Source organism: Homo sapiens, chromosome 3, assembly GCF_000001405.40.
Source record: "Homo sapiens chromosome 3, GRCh38.p14 Primary Assembly".
NCBI lineage: Eukaryota > Metazoa > Chordata > Mammalia > Primates > Hominidae > Homo > Homo sapiens.
The window spans coordinates 168,313,088-168,332,740 of NC_000003.12; the positions used below are offsets into that span (position 1 = coordinate 168,313,088).

At 36.4% G+C, this 19,653-nt stretch overlaps 1 pseudogene across 1 annotated transcript in view; it reads left to right on the forward strand.

Moving 5' to 3' along the window:
• Positions 1–19,653, forward strand: part of EGFEM1P (EGF like and EMI domain containing 1, pseudogene) — a 581,078-nt pseudogene that overhangs the window by 63,566 nt on the left and 497,859 nt on the right. The window contains exon 3 of the transcript NR_021485.2: positions 984–1,089. The product of NR_021485.2 is annotated as an EGF like and EMI domain containing 1, pseudogene (transcript). The remainder of the gene's footprint in view (positions 1–983; positions 1,090–19,653) is intronic.

Consider the following 19,653-nt stretch of genomic DNA (forward strand, 5'->3'; position numbering starts at 1 on the left):
CCTTCCCCAGTGTGCTTTCTGCCCTTGAAACATCTTAGTGAAGTTATCACAGGCTTCCCATGTTAAGCAGGTTTAGTGGTGAGGGGTGCACCAAGGGTCACTGTGTATTTGCATGCAGTGCTAGGCCACGGCCACTGCTTTAAGCTTATTGAAAACATCTGTTCACGGTGTTATTAGCTTAAACTGGTTAAACCTCAGTGAAAACATCTTCCCATGATGTCATCTTAACTATGTTATAAACTCCTGGAAATTAATGACTATGAGATGAATTCTTTTTTTTTTTTTTTTTTGAGACGGAGTCTCGCTCTGTTGCCCAGGCTGGAGTGCAGTGGCGCGATCTCGGCTCACTGCAAGCTCCGCTTCCCGGGTTCACGCCATTCTCCTGCCTCAGCCTCCCGAGTAGCTGGGACTACAGGCGCCCGCTACCACGCCCGGCTAATTTTTTGTATTTTTAGTAGAGACGGGGTTTCACCGTGTTAGCCAGGATGGTCTCGATCTCCTGACCTCGTGATCCGCCCACCTCGGCCTCCCAAAGTGCTGGGATTACAGGCGTGAGCCACCGCGCCCGGCCGAGATGAATTCTTTATATTGTTGTATGACACCTATTAGTCCTTATTAGCATTTTTTGTTTGATTTTTAGATTGTTTTGACTACACATTATTATACATAGAATTTTTTTAGACCAATATTTCTGAAATTTGAATGTGAATACAGATCATCTGGAATCTTGTTAAAATATGGACTCCATATTAGGTCTGGGGTGGGCCTGAGTTCTGCATTTTTACAAGCTTGGAGGTGATACAGTTGCTTCCGCACAGAGTTCTGCAAGGTTTTAGACAGTAAGGCCTTAACTCATAATGAAAACATTGTTTAACCTTGCTGTGGAAGTGTTGGTGGAAATTTCTAGATTGGTGCCTATAGTGATGATTTTTTTTCTTTCTCTCAACTCTATTCTCCCCACTCCTCATTCAACCTTCTTTTAGCTATCGCTGCAGTGGGAACTTGTTTCAATGGAAGAAAATGCTCAGATGGTGAAGGCCAGTAGTGCCAGTGTTCAGAGGGATTTCATGGACCCCACTGTCAATAACAGTGAGTCACCAACAAGACAATTTTATTATGATTTGGTGCTGTTTGCTTTGCTTTTAGGGGCCAGCCAAATTTGTCAATTCAGACTAATGGTTAGGTCCTTGGCGGGGTTGGTGAGCATTTAAAATTAGCCACTGAGGAAAACCTCTAGCTTATAGTGTAATCAGGCATCACAAAATATGCTTTGTAGTTTAGTTTTAACGATTCACCATTAGAGTTCAAAGGGGAGCAGTAAGTACAAAACACTTCATTTTGTAAAGGAAATGGAAGCTTAATAATAAGTAAACCTCATTCTGACCTCAGATGTTAGATCCTTCATGGAGCCATAGTTTGAAATTGCTGGTACGGTTTCTCTGAGATCTCTGTGGTATGTGAATGCACAAAATATAATTAACATGAAGTTGTTGTTAATAAATTCAATGAATTTATTAACAATAAATTTATTAGTAAATTTATAAGTAAACTAACTTATTAGTAGATTTACTACGTTCATGCCATTTATTTAAAAAACAAAAACAAAATACCTGAAACTTGCATGATTATCAAAGTTCCAATACTTCATAACCTAGTTTTCAAGGTTGGAACTTTATCAACTGTCAATTGTGGACAGGTACATTTAAGGTGTTTCTTGTGCAGGAAGTTTCCCGGATGGCCAATAATTTATCCTTTACTGCATCTGTCATAAGACTGGGTGATTTCAAAAGGCTTTGTTTTGACTTACTCATCAGATTCTAGTCTCCAGAGAATGAGAATACATCTGTATTTATCTTTTCAGAGCAGGAAAAACAAAATAAAACCTATCTTATAGAAGTTAAAGAAATAGATACGAAAAGCTAACCAAAATATTGCTTTCATTATCTTCTGCTGACATGTTTGCTTTCTCGTATCCATTACTTGAATCTTTGTAAGTGAAATTGGAAGGTTGCTGAGAGCTCATCACTCATGTCCATTTGTCTCCTCTGCCCTTGGCATAAGGTTAAGACTCAGGTTTTCCATGGTGACCTCAGAGCTATTCTTCTAAATTAATCCTGATAATCTCTTTGGGTTGCTTGCTAGTTTTTGCTTTTTTTTTTTAAACAAAATTGTGAATTAAAATAAAGCTGATTTTTAACCTCAATTTATTCTTTGACTATGGAATACTGATTCTGAAAGAGGTTAGTGGATGCTTTGAGCTCTAAGGTATACTTTCCACTATTTTCATTATTTTTAAGAAGCTAACAAAAATCATACATTGATCCATGTTAACAAATTGTTTGCCTTTAAATAAAGTATTTCAACTACATGTGCAACACTGGTTCCCTTATCTTGATCAATAGCTGTAATGGGCAATTACACATATCACTGATTCATTAGGACTTTAAAAAATTAATTATTACTTTATAAATTCATTTGTTTTGGTAGAGCACATCTTGCAAAATATCAAGTCCTGGAGGGGAAAGGTAATTAAAGAGGCATATGGTAATGATAAAGGCCTAGAAATTATACCTGGATTTATTTATTCTTTATTTCCTACACTAGTAGTCAGATATTTTCATTATTCCATTTCTTAACACTTTGTGTACCAAAGTAATTAAAATGTTTTTTGAAATTCAGGTAGCTAGTATTCTTATTTTTCAGTTTTGGGTTGGTGAAAATACTAGATTATTCGAGACATATTAGTGTTTCTTTTCCCCAAGTTTGTTTGTATACCCTAAAATTCCGGAAGTCATGAGAGAAGACCAATGATACAAAACACCTTTCAGGACTCTGCATTGCATTTTGCATATTGTTGTTGCCCAAGTGTGTTTACCTTTAGATTTTGGCAATATTTCTTCTTTTAGTGTAGCTCTCCTATTGAATTTAAAAAGAAATCGATGATATACAAAAGAAATTGGTGATACATTCTGAGGGATATATTACAACAATAGGAATTCAGACATTTCCTACATGGTATTGCATTTCACCTGTCAAAATGAGATATCAAAAAGTATGTAAATTTCAGAGGTTTTTATGAATGAATTTTGAAGACTTCTTAGGAAATCATTCAAACATTTGGGAAACAAGTGAGGAACCGAGTTAAGAAATGACATTAGTTGAATCTTGAAAGAAAATTAAAAATTAAAATCAGCAAAGACTTTAAAAAATTATTATAGTTGTTAGAATATGTAGTCTATCAAACAAGTTGATTATAGTCTGGTGGTACTGCCTATAACCTAGCTCTTATTTCAGTGGCTGGATTTGAGTTCTGATATATGAGTACATAATCCTCGGTCTGGTCTCGTTCTCTCTCTCTGTATATATATATATATATGTGTATGTCTGTGTGTGTGTATGTGTATTTATGTGTGTATATATATATACACACACACACATAGTATATATAATCACAATGAGAATAATTTTAATTTTGTGTTTCAAATCATATAAATAATAATTGAGGCAATAAAAATAATTTAAATCAAACAATTTTAAATTATGAAAAAGCCTATTATATGCAATAAAAGACAGTAAAAATGTACAGTCCTATCACTTTCAGATAACTGTGGTGGTCATCCTTTTATGCCCATTTATATTCATACACACATAAAATATTACATAAATTAGTTCATATCCTATATACTGTTTTGTCATGAATGTTCATGTTTTTTTTCTTACCTTCCCTTTTCTTCCCTTCTTTTCCCCTCAAACTTCTCCTATGCCCAGTAACCAACCTGTTGAACACTCTTGTATCTTTCTCTGAGCCTATGTAATCATATACAAACAGATGCACATTTCATATCAATGTACCACAGATTTTTGACCACCTATTTATTGATGGATATGTATTTTGTTTTCAGTTTTTTCGCACAATAATCAATGTTGCAATAATGTGGTGTTTTACATTTTGTGAGACAAATTTCTAGCAGTGGGATTGTTAGTGTGAATGCATATGTGTATTTTTCATTTTAATATGCTGCACTTAAGCATCAAAATATTCCTTTAAATTATTTGTAAGATGTTTTATGGACCATGGTAATGGCTTTACTAGTTTATTTGGTTGGGATGGATTAAAATCTAGGTAAATCCCAATTATTTACTTATTTTTAATATGCTAATATAATGAGGAATCACTGCATCTTCATCCAAATCCAGGGATGTGTCACATTAAATTATCTAGGGTCAGGATTATTGTAAACATGGATTGCTCTTATTATTGGGTAAACTTGACTTTATTTGAGATACATAGAAAAAAGAAGTCTGGAAAATAAACCGGATGGCCTTTTAAAAATGGAGAAAAGACTCTAGTCCTAGAGAGAGAAGGGCCATGCTAATAACTGAGATAAGTGCTTGAAGTTAATAATGATTCTAAAATTGCTGATCTGCTTAACTCATTTGAAAAATCTGCCTCTAATAAGGAAAAATGAAGAAAATGAATTTGGACAATTAGGAAGTAATGAAGAGCTTTCTAAAATAGCTATTGATTAAAGGAATCAAAAGAAATACTTTGAAGATTTGAACACATGCAAATCAGGCTAGATGGCTGGTGGTGAAATTTTCTTTTTTATTTTTACGGATCCAGGCAGAACAACGTGGAGCTTCATTAACTGGTTAATATCACACACAAAGTCACACCTCTTCTCATCACTTATTCAGTTTTCCTTTTCTCTCTTCAGAAGTCAAGTTAAATAATAATGTGCCTGGCCAGGCGTGGTGGCTCACGCCTGTAATTCCAACACTTTGGGAGGCCGAGGTGGGTGGATCACGAAGTCAGGAGATTGAGACCACCCTGGCTTACATGGTGAAACCCTGTCTCTAGTAAAAATACAAAAAAATTAGCTGGGCGTGGTGGTGGGCGCCTGTAGTCCCAGCTACTTGGGAGGCTGAGGCAGGAGAATGGCGTGAACCCAGGAGGCGGAGCTTGCAGTGACCAGAGATTGCGCCACTGCACTCCAGCTTGGGCAACAGAGCGATTCCGTCTCAAAAAAAAAAAAACAATGTGCCTAATGGTTGGATTCTAAGACTCTGAGGTCTTGTTTCTTTTTTTCTTTTATTCTTTATTGTAATTTTTTATTCATCTATTCAATCTTCCTATTAGTCTTCCAATTAGTTATTAAATATTTATATACCAGGCTGTGTGCTAGGTACTTCAGAGACCAAAACAAATAAGGTATCCTTAATGTAGTGGGAAATAGAGAGCAGGAAACCAGTGATTATGATATAGCCCACAAATAGTATGATGGAGAGAGTTCATCTATGTCGTATTGGGAGGTGATAGAAGGTTTCTCAAAAGATTTGAAAATACAAACTACAAGTAATTCCTAAACATGAGCAGAACAAGAATATGAAATTGGTAAGAGAGAATGGTATATTGCCCAGAGACATAAAATAGCTCATCCAGTTCAAGGAATAATAACAATAATACTGGCTGGGTGCAGTAGCTCACACCTGTAATCCCAGCACTTTGGGAGGCAGAGGCGGGCAGATCATGAGGTCAGGAGTTCGAGACCAGCCTGACCAATGTGGTAAAACCCCGTCTTTACTAAAAATACAAAAATTAGCCAGACGCGGTGGCGGGCGCCTGTAATCCCAGCTACTAAGGAGGCTGAGGCAGGAGAATCACTTGGAACTGGAAGGCAGGGGTTGCAGTGAGCCGAAATCGTGCCACTGCACTCCATCATGGGTAACAAGAGCGAAACTCCGTCTCAAAAAAAAAAAAAATAACACTAATAATACTAGTAGTAGTTCTCTTGACTGCACTAGGAGATTCATGTGGGGCTTGACAAAAAAAAAAAATAATAAAAATAGAACTTTTTTAAAGTCCAAGGCCAGCAATTCCTTAGCCTTTCTTGGTCCAGCCAGACCAGCTATTTCAGAACATTATGCAGAGGTGCCTGAGGGATTCTGCAAGGACTTTCCTTCCCTAAGTCCAGTTCTCTGAACAGGAAGTCCTGCAGTTGGAGTATCTTGAGCATTCAACAGTGTATTTGTTCATTCTCATGCTGCTGTGAAGAAATACCCGAAACCGGGTAATTTAAAAAGAAAAGAGGTTTAATTGACTCACAACTCCGCATGGCTGGGAGGCTTCAGGAAACTTACAATCATGGCAGAAGGCACTTCTTCACAGAGCAGCAGGAGAGAAAATGAGTGCTGAGTGAAGGGGAAGCCCCTTATGGAACCATCAGATCTTCTGAGAACTCACTCACTATCACGAGAACAACATGGCAGAAACCGCCCCCCATGATTCAATTATCTCCACCTGATCCTGCCCTTGACACATGGGGATTATTACAATTCAAGGTGAGATTTGGGTGAGGACATAGAGCTAAACCACACCAAACAGTACTGTTTGGTACTCTACTCTTATGCCTATGGCAGAGTCCCCAAATGTCTCTGTTACTTCAAAGCGTGATACTTATGTACATTAAAAATGGGATATTGCTGGAATGCTGTCTGATGACATGAAAAGTCCTCAGGAGTTCTGGGGTTGAGTTCGGGTCTCACCAATGACCACCTGCATTATCTTGGAGAAGTTATTTTATATCCCTAGCTTCAGTATCATCATTTATAAAATAATAGCTTTAATTTTTCTGAGCACTGACTATGTACCAGATACTATTTTAAATGATTTGCCTGTAATACATTATTGTTACAGCTAGTTTATGTGATGAATATTCTTACTTGCCCCGCTTTTGTACCCACCCAAGGCATGCAAATTGTTCACAGTCAAACAGCTAGAAAGAAAGGGATCTGGATCCATATCAATATATTCGGGCCCCAGAGCCTGCAAAGCCATCCATGATGACTTTATAATAATTTCTGACATAATCTTCTGTCTTCCAGATCGTTATTTATGAGGGTTGTATGAGATACCACATGTGACTTCTAAGCTAGAAAGCATTATCTAAGCATTGCTTCTTGTTCATTGCAAATTCTCTGAGAATCACAAATGAAGTACAGAAAGTAAGAGAAGAAGGACCCCACTGCTGCTTTGTTTCCCACTGTGTGGGAAATCTGAACAAACCTTGAGTTTTGGGTCACAAGTATGACTTTGAGCCAACCAGTAGGTTCTAGTCAAGGAATCTAGTAGGCTTTCTGCAGGATCCATCTGTTCTGTGCAGAAAGAATGTTTGGTCAAAGGATCTTCTTAAAATGACATGTCTCCAAGAGCACTGTTAATTTGGGATGTGTTATGGGTTGAGTCCTGTTCCCCCAAAATTCATATGTTGAAGTCCTAACCCCCAGTACCTCAGAATGTGACCTCATTTGGAAACAGAGTTGTGGAAGATATAATTACTTAAGATGAGGTTGTACTGGAGTAGGGTGGGCCCTGAATCCAGTATGACTGGTCTCCTTATAAGGAGGGAAAATTTGGATACAGAGGCATGCCGACAGCGAGAATGCCATGAGAAGATGAAGGCACAGATCAGGATGATGCAGCCGCAAACCAAGGAATGCCAAAGATTGCCATCAAACCACCAGAAGCTAGGTGATAGGAATGGAAAATTTTCCCTCATAGTGCTCAGAAAGGACCAACCATGCTGACACCTTGATTTTAGACTTCTAGCCTTCAGAACTGTGAGACAGTATATTTCTGTTGCTTAACCCACTCGCTTTATGGTAATTTGTTATGGCAAACAGATATAGGATGTTGAGAAAACATATTCTCCTTATTCGCAGCTTCATTTCAGCAGTTGGCCTATTGAAACAATGAAAATGGGAAGAAAATGGCAGGGGGTTTATAAAGAGCAAATTATGCTAAGAAAACTTGATGGCTTACTTTAATTGAATTATAATATTAGTGTGAGAAGGAGAGTTAATTTAGAAAAAATGCAAAAATCATTAATTGAACAAGCTTATGAATCTGCAATCCTAAATGAGCGTTACTAGGAGATACTATGAAGTGAAATGCAGCTTTTAACAGGTTGAACATTTCTTTCTTTCTTTTTTTTTTTTGAGGTGGAGTCTCACTCTGTTGCCCAGGCTGGAGTACAGTGGTGCAATCTCGGCTCCCTGCAACCTCCACCTCCCAGGTTCAAGTGACTCTCCTGCCTCAGCCTCCTGAGTAGCTGGGAATATAGGTGCGCCACCACACCTGGCCAATTTTTGCATTTTTAGTAGAGACTGGGTTTCACCATGTTGGCCAGGCTGGTCTCGAACTCCTGACCTCATGATCCTTCCACTTCGGCCTCCCAAAGTGCTGGGATTACAGAAGTGAGCCACCGTGCCCGGCCCAGGTTGAACATTTCTAATTAGAAAATCTGAAATCTCTAATGCCCCAAAATCTGAAACTTTTTGAGTACTGACATGATGCCACAAGTTACACTGAACCCATTATTTTTTCACTTTATTAATGATATGTTGTATTTTTTACTGTTAAGTACTTATGTGTGAATAATTTAAGAAAATTACTTATGGGTAGCGTATAAATTCAGTCAGGAATGATGATGGTGCCAAACAACCACAGATTGTCCCCAAGAGTGGTTGAGATAGTGACACTTTGCTTTGTGATAGTTCAATGTACACAAACTTTTTTAATCCAAAAAGTTATTGAAAATCTTATGTAAAATTACCTTCAGATTACATGTATAAGGTGTATATAAAACATAAATGAATTTTATGTTTAGACTTGATATTTCATTATGTATGTATAAATATTCATCCCCATCCCAAGATAATTATGTATGTGTAAATATTCCAAAATCCTAGAAAATATATTTCATTATGTATATGTAAATGCTCTAAAATCCCCCCAAAATCTGAAATTGGAAACACTTCTGATCCCAAGCATTTTGGATAAGGGATACTCAACCTGTATCATCTAGATATATTGATATATGTTCTTAGCGTGAGCTGACAGTGTTAAATCCAGTGTTACTTTGTTCATCACATAAGGATGCATTGGATTAGAGCTCCTATCAGGGTTGTAGCAAGTCTATAATAAGGCAACTATATTCTGCTTTATGTAACTTGACAGAAAGTATGGCAGATTGATGGGAATTGGAGCAAACATAAAAAAGGGATGGATAGACTGTTTATGAGGAAGTGGAGTAGTAACTATCTGACATCTTCCTGTGTGCCCAGTAAAGGAGCATCCTGTCATTTAGAATCTACGCAGAAGATTTACTTCCCTGACATTGATTTGAAAATAGAAGCTTTGGAAGTGTTTTTACTAACACACTCTTTTAGGTATACTTTGCATGGCCAGTGTTAGCACCATGAGAAGTAGTTTAAAAAAGACTTCATGAGAATTCCCTGATATTGCAAATATGATAACTTTAGAGAATGACCTAGCACTATCCAGGGTAATTTGATTCTACACAGTATAATGGGTGGTGAACTAGAACATGTTTAATGTGGATGATAGTGACACTAGTAGCTAACTCATAAATCATGCTTTCTACATGCTAAGTACTGTCCTAAGCGCTTTACACGTTGGCTTATTTAATATTTAGAACAACCCATAATGTAAGTGCTGTTAATAGTCTTCTTTTACAGATGACATGCTGAGGTGAAGAGAAGTTAAGTAACTTATCTGAGATCATACAGGTGGCAAATGATGAAGCCAAGGTGTGAAGTCAGGCAATCTGGCTCCCAAGTTCATCCTTGCAACCACTGTGCAATGCTGTTTCATTAACATGGAAGAACGTGTTTGTTATGAAAAACAAAACTGATATCATTTCTCTGAAAGGGATATAAGAGATTTTATACTTTATTTTTAGTGTTTGAACCCAGTCAGTATTCTTAGGAAACAGTATTCCTGTAGAAAGTATGAGCTAAATGATTATCTTCATTTAAACTTTTGCTCATTATACATACACATCATTGAGTGATTATTTAGGACCTGTGTAAGGTGTACCTAACTCCAGTATTGAAAAGCCTAAATTCCCGTTATGGGGACAGGAAAACAAATTGTAAAGTGATGAATGGCATTTCAGGAATACATTCAGCTTGACACAGGAACGAGGTCGTGGTGGGGAACGGGACTTGCCAAGTTGTGGCTCATATAGCTGGATGTTAATATTATGACACACATTATTGCCATGCCAAATAGTTTGGATCTCAACTCCTTGTATGTGTAATGCCACTGAAGATTTTAAGTATATTTTAAAGATGTAGCTGTAATAGAATAGAAAGGGGATGAAGTCCCAAAGGAAAAGAAAATGTTATATAATTCAAATGGCCAAATCTAGCATGTATAGTAGTCACTCCTTATTCAAGGGGGATACATTCCAAGACCCTCAGTGGGTGCCTGAAACCACCGATAGTACTGAACCCTATATATATATATATATATATACACACACACACACACACACACTATGTTTTTTCCTATAAATGATGCATACCTAGGATAAAGTTTAATTTATAAATTAGGTACAGTAAGAGATTAAAAATAACATATTAAAATACAACAATTAATATACCAGAATAAAAGTTATGTGATTGTGGTCTCTGTTTCTAAATATCTCTGAAAGATATTTGGGATTAAATATTATACTGCACTTACCCTTTCACTTCCTGCGATGATGTAAAATGATAAAATGCTTATGTGCTAAGATGAAGTGAGATGAATGACTGTGGCCTTAGCTTTTGCAGTTAGAGGTGCAAGAACAAAACTAGCACAAATTTCTTCTTCCTTCTTCCTAGTTTCACAGAAGATTCATTCTTACTGTAGATCTTAGCAACCTCGGTATATGATTTTTCTTTCTTTCCTTAAGTCAAAAAATCTCACCTTTTACTTAGATGAAGCACTTTATGATGTCACTTCAGCATATTTAAATTGCCAGCATCACTACTCTTGCACCTTGGGGACATTATTAAGTAAAAGAAGGGTTACTTGAACACAAGCACTGAGATACCATGACAGAAGATCTGTTAGGAGAGATGCCTATTAAGTGACCAATGGACAGGTAGTAAATATCGTGTGGATACACTGGATGATTCCTGTCTCAAGCAGAATGAAGAGGACTGGCATGTGATTTCATCATGCTACTCAGAATGCTGTGTAATTTAAAATTTATAAATTGTTTATTTTTGGAATTTTCCATTTAATATTTTCAGACCTCAGTTGACTGCGGGTAACTGAAACCTCAGAAAGTGCAATGTTGTTGCTTGCAGCCAACAGTTTTTCTTTTCTTGCTTGTTTTTTTGGTGTTCAAAAATCAAACTTCTCCTGTTCTATGAGGTACAAAATAAGATTTTAAAATACCCTTTTTAGTTTGTCAACTGCAAATTTAAATCTCATTTTCTCTTAAAGGAACTTGATAAAAAGTTTGAAATGAAATTCTGAGTAAGAAAGGTAATGTGCTTTTACTGCAGAAGCCAATATTCTGCACTTGCTATTTCTTGTAATAATATATCTTCCTTGCCATTTGAATTTGAAGTATATGATACCTGTGTGCACTTGTGTGCTTGTGCAATTTTACTCATTCTTATTTATTTCTGGGTATTGTGCACCAGAAATACACTAACAATATTACCAACAACAAAGACCATTGTGATTTATCACTTGGTTTGGTAGGGGTAATTTCACTTATTAGTTATTTTTGTAACTAAATTCCTTATTTTTTCATAAAAGCCTACTAATAATGGTTGTAGCTATAATGGAACATTCTACTATTCTCTATTGGAGTTTAGGCTAGTCAATGTTAGAAACTACGAACATGATAATCAATCATTAAAATTCCCTTAAGTGATTAGAGTATTTTATGTTGGGTAAAGAAGATGAAACTTGCTCCCAAAGTTCTCTGCTCTCAGGTCAGTCTGGTGAGTCTGGCATTTGAAGGGTAGAGGTAGAAGATAGGAGGAAGCAGCTGATGGGCCTGCCACCAATGGGTTATTTTTCAGATAGGAGGGTCCTAGGAACCCAGATAACCTGGTCAGACTTTTTTGAGGGTAATTTAATAATACACTTCCTGAGAGAGGCAAATTAGAAGAACAGAGAAGACAAAGCCAAAAATTGAATCCTACATAAGACAAAGGGAGGAGAGTAGTGACAGTCAAGAGAATAGAGAAACTCAAAAGATATTAAAGGTACAAATGTAGCTGCACAGGTTAGGATCTCGGTCTCAACAGGAGCTGGACACTCTATTGGTCAAGAACAGTAAAAAGTTGGATGTGCAGGACATGATGCATTATTATTATATATTTTTGAACATGAATAATCTGCTCTAATGTACTATATTTCTCAAAATTTATTCTCTGGATCGCTGCTTCCGTTGTATTTTAAGAAGTGTTACATGAAGTAAAGTTTTTGTGTTCAAATAAGTTTGGAAAATGCTTTGTTAAGTAACCTAACATACTATTCATTCTTGTAAGGACTTTCCAGAGTCTTTAATATGCTAATGTATATTTTTACTCCCATAGAAGGGCATATAGATTTCTGTGTATTCAAACCCATTTGACTCTGTAGCCTTTCTAATGGGGATATCTTGAGTATTATTATTTCATATAGGACCAACATGCTCTGGAGAATACACACACACACACACACACCTATACATATTATATGTAATATACACATTATATATCATAGCTCTTAAATTATTATATGCATATATAATTATAAATTTTTTTCAAAATGCTCAACTAATAGTAACATATATGTATAGTAGTTAAAAAAAAAACATTTAACAAGGTGCTTTCCTGTATGTTACCTCATTTAAGCTCACACCCACTCTGTGAGGGAGCTCATATTCTCAAATTAGAGATGAGGTAACAGAGACCCAGAAAGCTTAATTGATTTGGCCAAGTCACAGCTTGTGAGTAGCTGAGCCAAGACTTCAACTAAGATCTTTAACTCTAATGATTTATGGTTTTGTCCCACAGCTACCTAGGGATAAACAGGGCTTGCAATGGGCCCTTCCTTGCCTTTTTAAAAAAATTTTATTTTATTTACCATCCTGTGCACTGTTCTGGCTGAGAAACAGAGGAAGCAGAGTGGAGTTGGGGATGCCTTTCTCATCTTTCTCCATTTGTGTTCTCATACAGTTTTCATAATTCATATTTTTGTTCTTCCTTCCCTTCACCAATAAAACTTTACTTCCATCACTTTTCCCAATAAGCAACTTCAAACTAAAGCATTCATAGATACTACTGGTTGAACATATTTGCGTTTTAATGGGGGCCTCTGAAAACACAAAACTTTACCTGCATGGTGACAGAGCTCTGGCAGTCATCAGGAGGGAGATCCTGCTGGGTAGGGGAGCTTTAGGAATCTCTCTACATGTGGTGTGCAGGCTGCTGTTCATGTTGTTTCTATCTTGAGGCTCAGAACTGGCTGTGTCTGTCCCCTCCCAGGCAGGTGCTAGAGGTTGGTGGCAGTCCATTCCTTTGTAATTGCCAGTCAACCTGAGAGCTCCTGCTGTATTTGCCCCAAGGACATAATGCCAAGGTCTGGATCTCTGACCAAGCATCTTTCTGCATTTCATACTCATCATCACTCCTTCCTTTGCCCCCACACATATCCTCCTATAAACTAGCTTTCTTAACATCCGTTTTATTAAATAGGTCTCCTTTGACCTTCCAAATTCCTAAGGCCATAGTTACAATCATAACAAGTGTGTTTACCATTAAGATAAGCATCCTAAATAAAAGTCTTAAGAGAAAATGAAGGTGTGCAGTAGAATTTAACTTTACTCCAAAATAGTTCTCTTTGACCTAGATTCTAGGAAGTAATCTCTAAGCCTTTGGACATCATACCTGATAAGAGCATCTTTGTTTGCCTGGAGACATTAGATCAACAGATATTCTAATAATATTATTTGTGGTGGGGGCTCGACACACACTTATAGTCTTATATTGGGTCTTGCTATGCCAGAAAGACCAACACTGTGATTGAGGGTAGGGCTTTGGCTCATGCCCTGATTGCCAGAAATGGAGACTGAAATAAACCACATCAATAGTCAATCAATCATGCGTATGTAATGGAGCCTCAGCAAAAACTCAACAATAGAGTTTGGGTAAAGTTTGCTGGTTGGCAATAGTCTATGCATACTGTCACATATTGTTACCAAAAAAGTAATGCATTCTGTCTCCATGGGACAGACGGACAGGATGATGGAAGTTCCACTTTTGGTAGTTGCTGTATTCTACCCTATGCACTTCTTCCCTTGGAGGATTTTAATATGACCTTTTAGTGAGTTCTATGAGTCTGTCTAGCAAATTATTGAAATTGAGGGCTGTTTTGGGAATGCCCAATCTTGCAGTTGGTGTCAGAAGTGAGGGTTGTCTCTTTTGGGAACTCTTCCCTCTAATTTCTCAGTTGATCCAAACTCTCACAGAATGAAAGTCCCTACACGTTTTTCTTCTCCTTCAAGATTAAAGTGCTTTGAGTCTCTGTTTTGTTTCCTTGTGAGTATGGAACGCAGAGAAAATTAAGTAGCACTCTGTGGCTGATCACCTGTTCAGGATGATACTAGATGAGGGCTTTCCTCATTATTGGTGAAGAACAACAGTGTCTGGACTGCCTCAATAGTTTGAAAGTAATGGCTTAACACACCCATTTATTGAATCCGATGGCAAACCACAGAAGACAAGCAAAAAACATTGTTATTATAATCTGTTATTGCTGAAGAACACTGGAGATAGGGGGGTGTGGGGGAGTAGGAGAATAAAGCACATGAGATCTGAAGTTTTAAGATCCTGCCTGCATCTTGAGTGAACATTTGTTGAAGTCATTGTAATGGTTTAAAAATGGTTCTCAGACTATATGCTAAAGAATATTTAACAACTGGAAATGTAGTTATGTAACTTAACTAAAGGCTATTTTTTTACATTTTGACAGAAAAGATGATATGTTTTGTTCTGTTGCAAGTTCTAGTGACCCCTGCTTAGCTTTCATTTATCACAAGTAATCTTCTCCCGGATACTGCAATTGCTGCAATGTTGAGATGCTTATATTACATCAACCTTGGAGAGGGGTCAAAATAAATCTGTGAATTAAGCAAGAATACATTACAGCTGGCTGAAAAGTGTGTCAAGAATACCCTGAAGAGAAAAATAAAACTATTTTTTTCCCTGTGTACAAGTTGTTGTGGCTCCTTGTCTATCTACTTGGAGTTTAGTAAAGAAATTCTGTTCTTCATCTTAATTCTAATGTGGGTAAGTAGAGTAGATAAAGCATATGGTTGCAGCTGCTCTGGAGTTACTTGCATATACTAAGGAAGGACTACTCAGATAAAGCATCGGCTGTGATAATCTCCATTTACACAGAAACAAAAACATACAACGAAAACCTCAGATAGCTTGACTACATAAATATATGATTGGCAGTGGGTTCGAGAGAATTCTGAACATCAGGTAAACCCAATGGTGACTTCATTGTTAATTTAGGGAATTATGGATAAATGTGGATGGCACCTATAGAGAAAGTCATGTTGCAAAAGGATACAAGAAAAGGAATGAGCAAGATGGACATTAAAATTGAAAGGAAGCAAATCACGCAGAGAGTTTATATTCAAGGAAATGAATAGAAATAAAAACTAAGACAAAATGTGCCAATATAAGAAATATAAAAGTTGATATATTTGTCATATCTTGAAAAATGTGATTCAAAGTCTCTGTTTTGATATTTTTCTCATTTAGATAGTTTTATTTTATGACTATGGACAATTAAAGAAGGATGAAGTATTTTCTGTGAGTAATTTCTCAATAGTTTTTTTATCACAAGCTGTGATTAAAATTTTATATATACATTAGGGAAAATACTATACTTTAGGGTGAAGAATCCTTTTTCATGGCTAATTAACAAACAAGAAAAGTTAGTTATGTAACAAAAAATTAAAGCTGGAAAAATCTAATAGTTTAATAAACATGAAATTATAGGTGATGTTTTGCATGATTCAGAGTCACTTATGTACTAAAAAGGAATGAAGAAGCCTTTAATGAAGTAGACAAAATAAACTAGGAATGGACTGCTTAGTCACTGACAAGATTATACTTGAACAAAGGGTAGCTCTACTGCTCTTTGAAGATGCTACATGCTCATTTATTTATACATCAATGCATTCAGTTTATTCATTAATTTAACAAATCATTGTGCCAGACACTTGCCTAGATCTTTTGATCACAAAAGTGAGGTGCTCTTAATGGTTATAAGAAATTTTCTTGATGGTTAACAGAAATGGTTAAATGCCTTCTGAAGCTTTATTATTTTGTTTGGCATAAGCTAGGAGTAAATATTTTATTACCTTTTAAAATATTTTGAAGTACTTCTAAAATATTTGTGACCTTAAGGTTATCGTATTTTTCAGAGAATAGGAATATTCTTCAGACATTCTGGATCAATTGTGTTTTACTACAAGGGAATAATAAAGATTAAATTCAAGAAAAGTAGTGATGACAGCAAGCAAACAACTTTTCAAAAATCAAGGCAAGATGGTTCCCATTGTTACTATACTATGGACCCAAAGGTCCATATACTATACTATACTATACCATATACCATACTATACTGTGGACCCAAAAGTCCATTGTTACTATACTAAAAAATTTTCCTGTTTAAAAAGATATTGTCATGTTTTCCTACCTGTTATGTGGAAATGTAGTGTATCCTATCTTGGCCCTGTTAAGTCCTGGAAAAAAGTAATCAGGTTGGACAGAAAACAGGCTTCTAAGACATTTCTGTGTTTCAACTGCATGATGGTTCTTCTGGCTGCAGTTTATCTCTTTTGTAACATACTGCCTGTGAGAATCATCTGGGGATCAATAAGTGAGACTCAATATTGTGATTTAAAGCAGCCCTTTACATTAAAGGCAGTATTTTGATATCTAACCATTAACAACATGACTGCATATGGACCATTTACCTGGTTATAAAACCATTTTTGCTGAGCGAAAAGAAAATGGATGGAATTCAGTTTCGGAGGCTTAATTAATGTGGCTACTTCTTCAATTTATTTGTTTATTTATTTATTTATTGGGATGATATTGAGCCCTACTTTATTTGTACCCTTTTTAAACCAAAAAAATAACTTTCTTCCTAAGGAAGTTGGTTTCTTTTCTTCACTGAAGATGTACAGCCAGATTATGAATGACCACGTGGTAGGAGTGGCTTAAAGGAGGTTGCAATATTAGAATGAATAGTAGGAAAAAAATAACTTTTAAGACCTCTTCAAAGTCTAAGGGTCTATGATCTCTGGATTGTGATTTTGAGGGCAGGACTGAATCTTAGCATCTCCATCTCTAGCCCCTGGCAAGGGACCTAAAACAAACTGAGCTTTAAATATGTGTGTTGAATGAGTGAATTAATGGATTAATCAGAATTTCATTTAACTTGTTTATTGATTATCGTGCAGCTTTAAGTTTCAGACTGTAAAGGTGGGCTTAAAAGGCATTTTATTTTTCCTTGAGCCATCATATCGGTGGTTTGGGTTGTTGTCTCACAATGAACAGGACTGTAGGGCTGTGACTGTCTGAGCAGCTCAGCTGGGCTTTTTCCAGGGATAGATAGCTTAGTTTCACATCATACCACCAAACTCAATCAATAACGTTAACTTTTGAGAAATAAACCTTTTTATTTAAATAAAACATTTATATAAACCAGTGACTAACATTGGCATATGTTTTTAAAAATACCAAAGCTCAAGAGCACAAAACAAAACAAAAACCCTGAAGAAATATAAATATTTAGCTTCAAATTAAATGCCATCACTAAATTTCAGAGGAAACTAATCACTACCTAATCTCACTCCTGTATCCTCCCAGAGATTAAGTAACCAATTTATTCCAAAATTTTTTCGGAGTTAACAATCTTCCCAGCTGCATTCATGGCTCCACAGTGCTTTGGGGCTACAGAGCAACTTGGGCATCAAAGCTTTTGTATCAGACTTTGATCCTTCTCTTCAGGTTAGACCTTTTTCTGTCTGCTTGCAATTTCTCAAAGAGAAGGCATTAATAATTTGCTGTTGGAAGACTTCCAATGTTGTTGTCTTGTTTCTTTGTCTACTCTGCAACTTTTGTTTTCTCACAACAAGAAAAAGCCTGTTTTGACACCATGTGCTTGGCTTTAGCAGCTTGGAGGAGGATTACAGAAGCGCTCCTGCCGCCTTCTCTAGCATGACTTCCCTGTGTTCGCATTCTCACTCCACTTGACCTGTTTCTCTTACCTAATTCCTAACCCCTGTAGCCAGCAGTTGTGAAGTTACTTTGCATTGAATTAAGACTGTATTTTTTTTTTTTTTTGTTAACAATTCTTGCATGTTTTCAGCAGTTGTCAGGGACAGTTTTTCAAGTTGGAACTTTAAACAAAAAAAAAAGAAGAAGAAGTCTGATTTTCCTTTTGCCTATAAACATTTTAAGCAGAATATAACTAAGTTTTATAATGTAGATCTAGTAGGTTACTAAATGGTAATTCTGGATGATGCTTCCTTCGCTGTGGACCTCAGTGTGTATTTATTGTTGAGTAAAAACTGAGAGTGAGAATCTCAGATGCTTGCCTAATTTCTTTTTACTGATTTTAGAGTGAAACTATTGGGTTGAAAGAAGGGAATAATATGTATTTATGGCTTATGGTTCTTTTGTATTCTTCCAAAAATGATCTTGGTACTTAGATGGAATTGTAATGGGCATATGAAAATGAGATCTTTTTCCACGTTGCCTTATTTCAGACTGAAAATAGTTGGATGCAAATCTTCTTAGTATAAATTTGCCTTTGATGTCATTGTTTCATAGTCTAGATGTGTCCTTTTCACATTACGTCTTCCGGCACACTGGTGTTTGGAAAGATATTTTCATTTCCTGAGCTGGTTTGAGTAGAGGACTCTGGTCTACCAGATGCCCCTGCTCCACAGTTGCTTACAAAATGCCTGTATGTTTTGAATGTGTGTGTCTGTATTCTCAGGCACAGACTTTGGAAAGCATCTCTGTTCTGACCACCCTGCAGCATTCATTATTTTCAGTTCTGCCCCTTTTGGAGGTCTTGCCACAAAGAGGCATATGTATAAAACGTTTGCTAGTTAACTGTTGACAATTTGAATGTATGCCAAAGTTCTGTAATTGAAGTATTTCTTGAATTCTATGGTGTATGGAAAACATGACTTATCCAACACTGCAAACATAATTTTATATTTGAAAACAAGAGGGAAGCAGACATATTTTGAAGGTGAGATGTTTTAAAAAGATGAACCAAGAGATTTATTTGAAAAAGTTAGTCAAGGATATGAAAGGAAAAAGTCTGCCAATTTTGTTTGTGGTTCTTCAAAGCTATTTTTCCTGGCTGGATGCAATTGCAAAAGGATTGATTAAAATCATGCTGAGTGGTTTTATATTTTCTGTATTTAAATGGGTGAGTACCAGGCATAAGCTTAAGAACAGATATAATAGAGCCAGCCCATTGCTGTAGTTTATTTTAATCTAAACCCCCACGTAGCCTCCAATTTCATGTATAATAGTTAAAATATATCAGTTGTTTACTAGGTGCCACACAATATGATAGTGTTTTAGAAGACAGTAGTGCATTTTTCTTCTAATCAAAGAGAGCATTTTTCTTCTAATCAAATGGAAAAGAGATACTGAGTGTGATATTAGTGTATTTACTCCTTATAGCAGCTCTATGAAAAATGTATTTGTTCATCATTCCTATTTCAGAGATGAGAAGGTGGAGGCAAG